Genomic DNA, 14,051 nt, shown 5'->3' with positions numbered 1-14,051 from the left:
GGCTGGGCCATGGGGTGTCCAGACATTTGGTGAAACATTATTCTAGGTGTTTCTGTGAGGGTGTTTTGGGTAATATCAACATTTAAATTGGTGAACTTTAAGTAAAACACTTTGTCCTTCACACTGTGGGTGGGCCTCATCCAATCAGTTGAAGGTAGGAATTGAACAAAAAGACCAGCCTCCCTCAAGCGAGAGAGAATTTCTCAGAAGACAGCCTTTAGATGTCATCTGCAGCATCAGCTCTCCTGGGTCTCCAGCATGCTGGTCCACCATGCAGTTTTTGCACTCTGGTTTCTTTAACGGTGCAAAGCAATTCCTTATAATAAATCTCTTTCTCTCTGTACATGTAAATATCCTATTGGTTCTGTTTATCTGGAGAATCTTGACTAATATAAAGGGTAAAACTTATATGTAATTTCTGAGGACTTAGAAACTAACACTGTTTGGCTCAGAACCAGAAGATTATGGTCACCAAACTCCTTGCTAATGATTTGATGACTCTTTGATTAGATGTGACAAAAGTAGAGATGATGCTTTGTCAGGAGACATTGAAATGCTAGTCTGCAAGACAGCCAATGTGCAAGAGTTAGGGATCCTTTACCCCTCTCATTCACTCATCCCTCCATTCATTTGTTGAACATTCAATGAATATTTACTGGTAACTTCCAAGGTGTCAGGCACTGCACTGGGCAAAGAATATTCTTGGATTGTAGTGATCAGGAGATAGAAACCACACTCTGTAGGTTTTACAGAGGAAGTTTAATATAAGAATTAAGCTATAAAACTAAAACTCTGTAGGTTTTACAGAGGAAGCTTAATATAAGGATTATTAACTATAATAGATAAGGAAACTTTATATAGTACCCTAGGGCTGAGGGACAGTAGCGAAGAAAAAATAAACTTGGCAATCACTTTGAAGTTATATTCAGCTACAAAATGGAGAGATATTCACCAGTTTAGCCAGTCCAGTGTTAGTCTGGAATTGCAAACAACAGTCAGCCCTCGGTACTGCAGGTTGGGAGCAGACCATCAGCAACTATGACATGGCCATTCAGGCAGCCCTGTTCATGGTGGGATGTGGAGCAAGGGGTCTTTGAGTTCTGCATAGAGAGTTGTGAATGGGTTATTACCAGGCCCAGGCTACGCGGTGGGGTAGTTCCTGACTGTCTGTGGCTCTGGCAGGCAGCAATGGATAACTCTGGATGTCCTTCTGCCTTCCTCTCACCAGAAATTACAGAAAGCCCCTTCCACCTGCAATGCCCCTCCAGTGCCCTCTACTAAGAAGGCTTCACATCATGTTCCCTTTTAAGGAGAAATGCTTATAGGAACTCTGTGGTTTATCATAGCATATATTGAAGGATGTATTTGGACCTAAGAGGCAATAAACTGGTAACTGACACACAGGTGAATAAGATGTAGTCCCTTGCCTCAAGTTGCTCACTGCTTAATATGGGGCACAAACCACGTATTAGGCTGCTTCAGAGGGACAGAACCAGTAGGATCCATATGAAAGTGGATTTATTAGGGGGAATTGGCTCAAACAATCACAGTGGCAAAGTCTTATGATAGGTCGTCTGCAAGTTGGAGAACCAGAGTCTGGTAGTGTGGCTCCCAGAGAAGCCAGTAGCCTGGCTCAGTCCAAAAAGCCCCAGAACCAGGGAAGCCAACAGTGCAGCCTCCAGTCTGAAGCTGAAGGCCCAAGAGTCCATAGGGGTCCAGTGGTGCAAATCTCAGTGTCTAAACCTGAAGAACCTGGATTCTGATGTCCAAGGATAGTAGGAGAAAAAGGCCTCTCACTCCAGAAGAAAGAGAAAAAGTGCTCTGTGTCCCCTTCTTGTGCCTGCTTTGTACTAGCCGGGCCCCCAACAGATTGGACAGTACCCTTAAGAGTGGATCTTCCTCTCCCAGTCCACTGACTCGAATGTCAGTCTCCCCTGGCAACACCCTGAAAAACACACCCTGACACAATGCTTCACCAGCCATTTGGCATCCCTCAACACCATCAAGTTGACACCTAATATTAACCATCACAGACAACTAAACAGACAGTTATTTAAAAGTGTGACAAATGTTGTGTCTGAGGTAAGTGTCGTGTGCTAAAGGGAGACACAACAGGGCACCTAATCCAATCTTGCCATGGTGGAGGATGGCGCTCAGGCTCCGCCACAAACGTTCCCTTGAGTGTTATCCCCATTTGGTGGCAGACTCATGAGTCTATACACTCCATGCATGTCTCCTCAACTTAGGCAAAATGGAGTTAGAGTTACCCTCCGACAGCATGGTCTACAAATTGTCCAGAAATCCCTCAAGATAATGTCACTTCTTTTTTCACAGAATGCAGTTTACATCTTACAGTCATCATTCCCAACACCCGATCTGAATCAGATTTCTTACAGGGCATTTAGATCTCTTGATTTCCTTAGAGAAAAAACAAACCAAAGACTAGAAAGACATTTTAAATCATGAGTTCTCTCCTCCTCTCAATGAGGAGAGGACTGAGAGCCTCTCACCCCTCCCACCTTGTACAAACACACTAAAAGAAGAAGATGAACAGTTCCATGGGGCAGTGCCCCACACCAAACACATGTACTCTGCCAATGGAAAAGTGATTTCTTTCTTTTGTCTGTGTCAAAAGAACCAGGTGTCTGCAAAAGCTTCTGCCATCAGTGAACACTCAGCATCCTCTTAATGTAGAGCTTATCCTAGACATTATTGTATCAAATGACATAACATCCTGGAAGTCATAAAGAATCATATAAATGTTATTGTTATTACTTAGGATCATTGACCTGTAGGTTGGAAGAGCTGAAACAAGTATTTTTTATGTGTTTAAGTATGACAAAAAGACCAATAAAGACTACAGTCATGTTAGACCTTGGCTTTCAGTTCCAGCCACGCCTCCTTCCCAGGCTTGTTGCTGGCTTTTTCTCTTTTACTTCATGGCTCTTAAAGTTTGCGATCTTAACTAGCCCCAGAATAGGTAGTGTCTGTTCAGTTCGGAGTATTGCTTTGGGGCGGCATTTTTTGTTTCATCCCTGATTAACTGGGGGAAATTCTAGGACTTGTGGGTTGGTTGAATCATTTCTTGTTAAGATTCATAGGACTGGGCATGGTGGCTCACATCTGTAATCACAGTGCTTTGGGAAGCCAAGGCAGGTGAATCATTTGAGGCCAGGAGTTTGAGACCAGCTTGGGCAATATGGCGAGACCCTGTCTCTACAAAAAATAAAAAAAAAAAAAAATTCTAGGCATGGTGGTGTGCGCCTGCAGTCCTAGCTACTTGGGAGGCTGAGGCAGGAGGATTGCTTGAGCCCAGGAGTTTGAGATTACAGTGAGCTGTGATCACACCACTGTACTCTAGCCTGGGTGACAGAGAGAGACCCAGTTTCTAAAAACCATAATATAAAAGTGTAAAAAAGATTCATAGAGCTAAAGAGAAAGAAATCACAGGGTTGGGTGGGGTGGTGGGGAACTTATCCGGAATAGAAACTCAAAATCATAATGGCAAAAAAATAAAATAGTAGGATAAAATTTGAGTTGCTTAGAACTACTTTCTTGTCCTTAAAATAAGCCTATTTCTCCATTCTTTTCTCATATTGAAGTGATAAAAAAGACAGAATTTTTCCTAGAGTGATTGTTTTAGGTCATAAAGAACTGAGTGGTCGCAGGTTGTCTGAGGTGCTCCTTATAAAGGACTTGACAGCTGATTGTGAAAATGTATCATTATCGCAGGGCTGAAATGATAGCCCACCCTTGCTTAGCCTCAGGGAGGATAAGCTGAGGAAGTTTTGAAAGATTATATCTGCCCATAGTGCAAGGGAAATGTTTCAGATCTGAAGGAATACTTCTCTCTGTAAACCCCACGGATGCGTACATTTCTAGCCAGCCTGCTAAGATAGAGGTTGCTTTTAGTCATTCTCCTCAACCACATTAACTGTTAAAGGTATTTGATGTTACTATTAAAAGTTTTAAAAATAAAAAAACTTCAATTTTTTATTGCCCATGTTCCTTGGTAGAATAATGACCTAGAAAGTAGGTATACAAGGTTTAACTATAAATTCCTCTCTGAAATCTCCTTTAGAAAAAGCTACATTCACTGATCTTATAAAATAGCTTTAAATCATATTATTTTCTTTTTTTTTTTTTTGCCTTTGAAGGGGGAAAAAGCTACTATCTTCTGAATGGGACAAAGAAGTTTGTCTTGTACCTCCTGCTTGATGCTTTCCTGGGTTTTAATGAAACCCTCATAAGTGAACAGCTAATCAACCAATTATTTGAGTCCAGACTTTACATTTAAATACAGGTAAAATATAAAGTATTAGTTATATAAAAGGGAATGTGCCAGATTTCTCAATCAAAAAGCCCCCTATGTCATAAAAATGTCCTTTCACTAATCAGAATATCACCTGAATGAAGTCATCATGTTAGCCTGATTGCATTTCCCTCATATATGTGCAGCTGCATTTGCGGCTCCATAAATGTCATTTGATTATGAGAAAATAAACAGGAAGAGACTCAAAGGGAGTCAGTACAGGGCCTGCTTGTTTACCTGCAGCAGCTTTCTTAGCTGAAGAACAAATGTCATGCAAATGGTGCACCAGCAATGAGCTGCCAATCACCCTGGCTTGGCATTCATGATGATTTGCTAAATCATTTAAAGAGACATGCTTTACTAAATGAAAAAATATCAGCGGCAAGGGCCTGTGTTTAAACACGGGGCTGAGTTATTATCCCAGTAGGCTGGAATGAAATGAAGACATCTTCCAATTAAAGCTTGCAGATGAACCCAGACAAACCCCCCTTTTTTCATAAAGACAGGCAGATTATGATTGGGAAGGAACAGCGACAGAGGCTTTCATTACACGCTGATTATGGTGATAAAATTCCCAGCACTGTGTGTCTGTGGGCCCAACTTCACATTTGAAGGTTTTTAATATAATTTCCTTAGGGTGAAATGCTGAAGATTTATTAAACTTTATGAAGGGCTTACAGATCCAATTTAAGAGGACATATCATAGGGGCAAAACTGACAGACGATAAAATACATTCCAACTATAAGAAAAAAAAGCAAGGAGAAAGTTGCGCCGTGAAACTGTTTTTAAACATTTTTTGTTGGTGGTGGTGTTTAAGTGAAATCAATCATTTCCCCCAGTGTTACAGCCTTGTTGGTCCATTGAAGTTTTCTTCATGCTTTTTACAGAAGGTGGGTATTGAGCGCAGTGAAGGGATGTAGAGTTTATCTAATTTTATTTGGAAGAAAAAAATTACCAAAATAATTTTGAGATCATTGGTTTATAAGAACTTCTCAGCAGTTATAGTTTTTCTGCAGTGAAGCATGCATCATTCCCTTTATTGCAGCATAAGACCATGAAGACATTACGCTGATGTGGGTGCTGATCTGTTTCTTCCAACCATTTTCATACAAACAGACACCTGTCAAGAAGACAAGTTTAGCAACTTTCATTGGCTCTTTTTTCCTTTGGAGCTTTCAAGATAGTTGTGGGGACAACTTTTCTTTCATTTTTATCATGATTTCATGAGCCTGTGCTCCTGGTATGAATTCAGGGTAGGAGTTTTATATAGGAAAACAAATAGTACAAAATCACTCTTCTATGTGGCAGTGAAGAAAGGTTTTCTAGGTACCAACAGAGTTTAGATAACTCCTAAGCTTTGCCCTTTCCCTCATATATGGGCAGCTCAGAATAGATCACAGGTAAGAAAGCAGTCACAGGAAACTCATGTCTTCTGTGGCCTTTACTTGAATTTGCCTAAATTACTTTATGGATAAGACTTCTCTGGCCAGATATATTTTCTGGGCTTTCCTTCCTCCCTTCCTCCCTCCCTCCCTCCCTCTTTCCTTCCTTCTTTCCATGGCTTTTTTTTAAGTATAATTTATATAGAAAAAATTACCTGTTTTAAGCATACAATCCAATGATTTTTAGTAAATTTACAGAATTACACAACTCTTACCACAGTCCAGTTTTTAAACATTTTTATCACTCCAAAAAGATCCCCCATGCCTGATTGCAATCAATACCAGTTTCCACTACCCATCACCAAACTCTAATCTGCTTTTTGTCTCCATAGATTTGCAGTTTCTAGACACTTTATACAAATGAAATCATACAATATGTTGTTCTACCTAGACTTTTCTTTTTTAAACCATTTCAGGGCCAAATCCAGATCTCACACTGGCACTTAGCAGAGACTCAATTTATATTCAAACCATTCTGGAAAACAGGTCAAGTCAATATAGGATTAACCCTGTGGCTTTTTCATGATAAAAGGCTTTTTTTTTGTTTTTTTGAGACAGGGTCTCACTCTGTCACCCAGACTGGAGTGCAGTGACATGATTTCGGCTCACTGCAGCCTCTACCTTCCAGGCTCAAGTGATCCACCCACCTCAGCCCCCCATGCAGACACCGATATGTCTGGCTAATTTTTGTATTTTTTTTTATAGAGACGGGGCCTTGCCATGTTGCCCAGACTGGTTTTGAATTCCTGGGCTCAAGCGATCCACCCACCTCAGCCTCTCAAAGTGTTGGGATTACAAGCGTGAGCCACTGTGCCTGGCCGAGAGATTTTTTAAGTAAGTAGCGTTTGTGAAAGTCATTAGAAAGGTGAGAATAAAGTCCCTCTGTTTTTTTTTTAATTTATTTTTGGCATAATAAAATTAATATTACTTGTAAAGAATCTATTATATCTCAAAAATATTTTGCTTTTTACTGGGAAAAAAGTTTTCATTAGAGAATTTTGCACTATGCAATCACAAAGCTCTCAGAAGAAGGATATAAACCCTAGATGGGGTAAATGAGGGAGAAAACTAAATGCGACACACAGCCTAGCTTGGATCCTGGATGAGGGAAGATAAACACTATAAAGATATATTTAGAAATAATTGGTGAATTTTAACATGGACAGTATAGAGAAAATAGTATTATATTGATCCAGGATTTGATAATTGTGCTGAGAATGTATTTGTACTCAAGAAAAACATCATGGCAAAGCATTTTGGGTAAAGGAGTGTGGTGTAAAAAAATTGTCTATGTAAAGAAAGAGAAGAGGAGAGGGAGAGAGCAAGACATAGGAAGAGAAGCAGAGAGAGAATGCGAGGGACAGACAGAGGTGAAATGTTGCCAATTGGTCAAGGCTGTATTGGAATATGTTTTGTACTCTTCTTGCAACTCTTCTGAAAATTTTAAATTATTTCAAGAAAAAAGGCTAAAAACATGGCAATGGTGTAATAGTTGTGTGAATGATAGTTATAAAATATTAAAAAAATAAAGCCTGCCCATTTATCCATCTTCCCTTTTCTCAGGGTGAGCCTTACCAATTAAAGCTCAGGCCATCAAGAGTGTTGATGCTGATGTTTTGTGAGAGCTCATTACATGCCAGGCATTGCTAAGTATTTTGGGGTTTTTTCACTTCTAAACAAAATGTAAAGAAAATGGCCTGACAGCCAAATGCTTTGTTTAAATATAATGACAAGAACAGGGATGTTCATAGCTTTCTTGACAACAACATCTTGACTACAGTACAAGCACATGCAGAGTTCATGAAAGGCGAAAGATAGATCATTGTCCAGTATCCATGGCAGGCCAGCAGGTGTTGGATCCCAGTACTTGACTGCAGGCATCTAGGAGGAGGTATTGAACACTGCAATTGTATCATTGAAAACACTAAGAAAAAGTAGGTGCTTTTGTTATAATAAAACTACCATCCACATTTAATGAATACTTACAATGTGCCAGCTATTCCTGAAAGTGTGCATGTGCAATGGATGCTTATGTGTGTGTGTGTGTGCATTTGTGTTTGTGTATGTGTGTTAGATCTATATCCTCATTAATTCCTCAGAATAACCTCTGAGATAGATAGGTACTAAACGTCCAGAATGAAGAAATTTGAGCTTGCCCAATGTTACTTGGCTAATCAGTGAAAATGGAAGCCTCAAAGCCAGGTCTGTTTGACATTGCAAATGGCTCTCCACCTCTAGTAGGTTAGCCTATATATTCAAATATAAGAAATAAAAATATGTGTTTCCTATTTGCTTTGTAACGATGGTGAGAGGATTTATGAAACAAATATATATTATGATATGCTTTGTGGAAGAAATAAAGTTTCTTTAGCAGAACAACTGAAGCACTGGGAACATGATTATATATCAAAGAAAATCCAGTTTCCTGTCCCCTGGCTGTGTCATTGTCCTGTATACTAACTGTATATCCCCACGGTTTAATAATAAGACAGAGGTATGAAGAAAGGAGATATTTCTTGTTACCTACATTATTGTTAAGAGATTTATTTACCAATACAACTACGCATGACTCAGAATGGATTCCTGAGAGCAGATTAATTCAACTAATAACAGTTACATAAAATAAACATACATTTTATTATGTAATGTAATATTTATGACTGATACACAACAATGATTGACATCAATGAAAATATGTTCTATTTTTATCTTATTATTTATTTTCATCACATGGTAACTATTTTACATGAACGGGATTTGGGTTTTTGTTTTGTTTTTATTTTTATTTTTTACCCTAGCTGCTGCCACATATTTTCTGTGGAGAAATATGGTTCAAATCACCATTGCTTCTCTCATTTTCATATTCATTTCTAATTATATCTGGAAAGTGCCTCAAAAAATTTACTTGGGATTGGAAATGTCCAACTCTGTTCAGGCTGCTGTGGCAAAATATTATAACTGAGTAGCTTATAAATAACAGAAATTTATTTCTCACAGTTCTAGAGGCCGGGAAGCCCATGATCAAGAAGCCAGCAGATTCAGTGTCTGCTGAGGGCCAACTTTCTGGTTCATAGGTGGCACCTTCTCACTGTGTCCTCACATGGTAGAAGGGATAAGCTAGCTTTCTGAAGTATTTTTAAATAAGGGCATTTAATCCCATTTATGAGGGCTCATCCTTCATGATCTAATCATCTCCTAAAATGCCCACTTCCTCATACCGTCACCTTGGTTAGAATTTCAACATATGAATTTTGAGCGGACAAAAACATTCAGACCCTAGCAAGCATTAACTTTTCATTCCATCTGTCCCCTGCATAAACTTTCCTTATTCCTCTGTCATCTTTTAGATCTGAAGAGTAAGCCAAAGTTAAATTTTGCAATACACAGTTCTTTCAAAATTAGGTCTCACTTAATTCATATTCCTGGGACATTGCACTGATATATAATCCCTTATGGTAACTTGGGAACTGGCAACATTGTTATTATACAATATGACAAAAATATAAAATATTCCCCAAATACATGATGGAAACAAGAAGGAGACATGGCAGCATTCCTCCCTTGGAGCATCCAGACAATGGATTTTCCCAGTCTGCAATTTTGCTATGTAGCTATAAATGCATCTTTATCTCAACAACACTTCCCTTGACCACACTGACCCCCTCACGCCAGGATGGAAGCTTCCTTGGCTAATGAATTACTGCACTCTTCTTTCCTAGTGCCCCAAAGACCTCTGTACAGCTTTAAAATAACACCAGAGTTAAAAATAAGAAAGCTTAACCAGAAGACAAGTGTTAAGTTTCTCATAACAGATTCTCAAGTTGTGAAACTTGTTAAACTGTTGACTTGTTAAACTGTTGACTTTTAATGGAACTAAAAGAAATTTTTGCGATCATGTGAGCTGATGTCAGATGTTCTAGATTGATGTACTAGTTTGCTCAGAGTTTTGGACAAGGCTGAAGGAAGGGAAATAGTGGAAGAGAAGTGAAAGAAAGAATTAAAATGGCAGAGAAAAGAGATGCAGATATAGAGCAAAGGCACAAAAAAAGAAAGAAGCTAGGTTCCTTTGGGGAATTGTAAAGTGACATTTACATTCTGAGAGTGAGAAATAAAATGGAATTGCAAGATGATATCGAGAATTAGAGAAATACCAAATGGTCTTTTCTATTCTATGGATAAATATGAATAAATTTTAGGAGACTTAATTCAATCAAATATTTATTGAAACCTATCATGTGCAAGGCATTCTGACAGGTGCTGTAGGTTATACGGAGATGAATCTGACATGATTCCTGATTTAGAAAGAATTCAAATGACGGAGAGACAGAGGAATTCTCAACAAAGGAGAGATCATGCCATTTAGGGAATGGGACAAAAATAAAGACTTAGTGAAAGATTGTGTCCTTGGACTAGGTTAGAAAGACAAGTGAGATTACAATAGTTGCAGATAGCAGTTTACAGGTGTGGCCATTCGAGAATTGCATGAGAAAAGGGACATAGCAGAAGGATTAGGTACCTTCCAGAACCAACAAAAAGTCCAGTTAGACAAGCATATGCGTTTTTATGTCAGCCAGTACAGGGAAATAAGCTTTCCTGTGTTGGAAGAGTTTATAATTTAGCAGGCAATGAAGAACACTGGACATTGACTTTGGGTGTCTTTGCTTGTTTTTTATTTATTTTACACAGAAAACTGTAGGTGAAGAAGAGTTGAAGCAGTGAGTCAAAAGGAAGGAGTAAAGGCAGAGTGAAGTCTGAAGAGAATCCAGGTAGAAAGCTACCCCAGGAGAACCAAACTGAGAACTTAAGCTGGGGCAATGGCAGAGAAGAAGAAATGATAGATTCAAGAAACATTAGGAAGGAAGACTGAACATTTAGAATTGATTGGGTAAGGGAAGGGAAGATTCAGAAAAGATTTTATTTGCAGATTTTCCTACAGGGAAACAAATTTGGAATTCAAACTTTCCTTTGATTCATTTAACAGATAGATATTTAGCTTCGACTCTGGACCAGATCCTACATTAAGTGCTATATGGATGAAACAGATCAATTAGATGTGATCTACCCCCAAGGAACTTACAACCTGTAGTCAAGGTTAAACAAGACACAAATAAGCATTGTACAAAATAGAATACAGTAGATGTTGTTACAGAGGTAAAAATCAAGTTCCATGGGTTTATGGAGAGAAGCACCAAGAAAAGGTTTAGGAAGGAAGAGGTCTTTGGACAGGGCCAGGAAAGAAAAAAAAAAAAACAATTTCGACAGACTGAAATATTTTAGTGAGCAACTGGAGGAGGTGGTAGAGAAAGCGATACAAACTTACATAGCATAATTCCAGAAAGAATTTACATATGAAAAATGTCAATCTTTTTTTTTTTGTCTCTCTCTCTCTCTCTCTCAAGCCTTCCTTTAGATTTAGACTACAGTTACAATCAGAGAGGCCTCTTCCCCATCATCTTAATCTTTATCCATGTATCTCATATGGATAGTGTCAGGATTATCTAAAATATGTAAAGGTCTTCCATAAATTCAGAGCAAAACACCAGAGAAATATGTGTAAAATATGAATATAAATGAATAAGGCTGGCTTTCATTATCAGCTTACAAATACTTCGAATATAGCTACACAGCTGATCCCTCAAGATAGTCACTATTGGAAGACTTCTCTTATGCTCCCAACTGAAGGGATATTTATTCAAATTTCTTTTTAAACAAAACTCCCCCAAACTTATTCAGTTATAGATATTGTTTTATTATTTAGGATCTCTAGTTTGAAAATCTGACAGGTAATGCCTGATGCTTAGCCTCTGAAACAAAGCAACAAAACCTTACAGTGGGCTTTTCTTAGTAATATCTGTTTCTAAGGTCATGAATTGAAAAGCCAGAGTTCTAAGTTCAAATCCACACAAGCTCAAGTTTAAGGCCAGTGCTGTAATGAACCTGAGTCATGGAGAAGATGAAATTACCAAAAAGCTGCTTTCTGCCCTGAGCAAAGATTTTAGAACGAAATCAACAACATTGCATACATCATATAATACAGAGAATTATGAGTTTGGTGTACTGTTTTTAACCTGGGTTCTCAGTGAGCCAATTTAAAGGCAGGAAAAATAACCACTAAGGAAAAAGGGCTGGAATTAAGCAATGTTTACTTATTCATCTTCAAAGGAATTTGAATGGCTCTTGATGAAGCATGAGGAAGCTCCAGCAGTGTTGAGCCTTGAAGTTATCTGCATTGATAATTGTTATCTGCATTGATCCTAGGGGATGGTCTGCAGAATACCAAGTACTCAGGGTTAAATTCTGCATTTTCTAGTCGTGATTTCTGTGATCTGGGAAATGTTCTCTCTCTGGTTTTCCTTTCAGTCACAAAAAATACCAGCTTCTTTTTCTTCCCTCTTTCAAGAATTACTAAATTCCTTAATGAGTAGTGTTCTTCATTTGCAATGTCAGTAAAGAAACAGAATATACAGCAATCTTCTGTCTGGTGCAGAGGTTTATTAAAGGAACAGTGGCTAGAAGAAGGTAGTCACAGGTATTATCAAAGTCAGCTGTTAACCCACAGCCCCCAGGCCCTCACTGCTTCCTATATGACAGTGAGGAACTCAGCCACCTACCTGGTTTCCAGAATGTCCACCGTAGTTGTGCCACTTGATACAGAGAAAATCCTTTTAGCTATATGCTCAAGGACAGACTGCCATCAGATGGGATCAACAATTGATGTACGTTCTTGTTTTTATTGTATTTTAAACTCTTGGGCAGGCTCTTTATCATTGAATTAAACATTTTTCAAAGTACCTGGTCACAAAAGGAGACAGAATGAATTATTTGACCAAGCAGAGTAATAATTCCTTCCTAATATATTGTGCAATACCATCTTGACATATACATTTTTGATCATCACACATGGGTGGTTTCCCTACTACTAAACTCACTAGGCATTCCCTAGTACAGAATTTCTATTAATAATCCCCATAGCTGCTGCAGGGAGACACAGGGGAAACTAGATCCAAACAAACCACACAACTAAGTTTACACTATGTGCTTCGGAATTCTTGGCCATGGGTGAGCCATGTGATGGCCCAACCCTGTTTTACTTCCATATTGTCTATTGCAACTATATTTCCAAGGACTAGGGAACAATATGCCAACTTCTAGTTAATAGCTAACAGTAACAGACAAACCTGTAACATTTCAAGCAAGAAAAACTAAGACCTATAAAACCATGATTTACACATTATTTCTTCCTACCATGAGCAGCTATTCTTAAAAGGAGCCTTATCCTGATATCACCCCCATCCCTCCCACCCACATTCCTCATTTTTCTTTCCATCTCTGGCCTTGGCCACATTGTCTGCCTTGCATTAGCCCTTGATTGACTGCCCTCTGCACTTTCCCTCTTCTGTTCTATGCTAGTGGGTATTGATTTCTCAGTATTGGAGCTCTCCTTCTATGTCCCTTACCAGGCACTATTAAGTCTGTAATATATTCTCTCTGCAATGCAACACTGTCAGCTGCCTGAGTATAAGTAGAAACATAGAGTCACAGAATGTCAGAGCTAAAAGGAAAGCCAGAATTTATGCTACTCAACTCCATCATTTTACAAATGATGACACTGAAGCCAGAGAGGTAAGAGCCTTACATAAGATCACCAAAGTACTAAAAGCGAAGGCTCTAGGACCCAAACCTGTGGGTTCTGTTTGCAGGTCCAGCTGTGGACTTTACTTTGCACAGTGTTTCATCTCCTAGAATTGTGAGGCTTACTCAGGAAGTAAACTCATCATCCTATGGGTTTGGCTATTAAAAAGTAACATATTAAAGAAAGAATTCAGAATAGACGGAAGCCCTCTATGGTACAGGATATTCAATTATTTAAGATTTCTCAATGCCAGCCAAATTATAGACAATTTAAAATATTATTACTCTGTTACCCAAGATACTTCCTTGGGCCCCCTAGGTGAAGGTAGAAAATGAAAAAGAGATATTTTGAAAATTTCAATCAAGTAGGTTTTTTAGGGCTGGATAATCATTTTCCTGTACTAATGCATTAGTGCAGGAGAAGGGCTTAGCAAATCCAACTGCTTATGACTTTGTTCTTTTTTACTTGGAGTGTCTAAAAGCATGCAGAAGAGAGTTAGGGTATAGAGTGGTTGAGTAAAAGGGATAGCAGAATCTAAACAACTGCTTCTTATTTTGGCTCCTGTGTTGGTCATTTTAAATCAGGTTGTCCTCCATCCATTCTCTGTCTTCTCTGCATTACACTTGCCTGGGACAGGGAGAGGGAGAAGACTTCTATGCTCTC

The 14,051-nt window shown here is 38.7% G+C and overlaps 1 long non-coding RNA gene across 1 annotated transcript, besides 1 other annotated feature; it reads right to left on the bottom strand.

The window, feature by feature from the left end:
* Positions 4,022-5,392: an enhancer, noted in NCBI's record as "VISTA enhancer hs765". NCBI's record gives its function as "enhancer in: midbrain (mesencephalon)[4/5]" and the evidence as "EXISTENCE:transgenic organism evidence [ECO:0001131][PMID:17130149]".
* Positions 4,945-12,567, bottom strand: LOC124902186 (uncharacterized). The gene is made up of 2 exons (XR_007061599.1): positions 12,367-12,567; positions 4,945-5,433 (listed from the first exon to the last, which is right to left on the bottom strand). It is a non-coding gene; the product is annotated as an uncharacterized LOC124902186 (long non-coding RNA).
* Positions 12,568-14,051: the final 1,484 nt, after the last annotated feature.

This window comes from Homo sapiens, chromosome 9 (assembly GCF_000001405.40).
Source record: "Homo sapiens chromosome 9, GRCh38.p14 Primary Assembly".
Classification (NCBI taxonomy): Eukaryota; Metazoa; Chordata; class Mammalia; order Primates; family Hominidae; genus Homo; species Homo sapiens.
The sequence above is the reverse complement of the archived record's forward strand: the minus strand, read 5'-3'. Positions and strand labels throughout refer to the sequence as shown.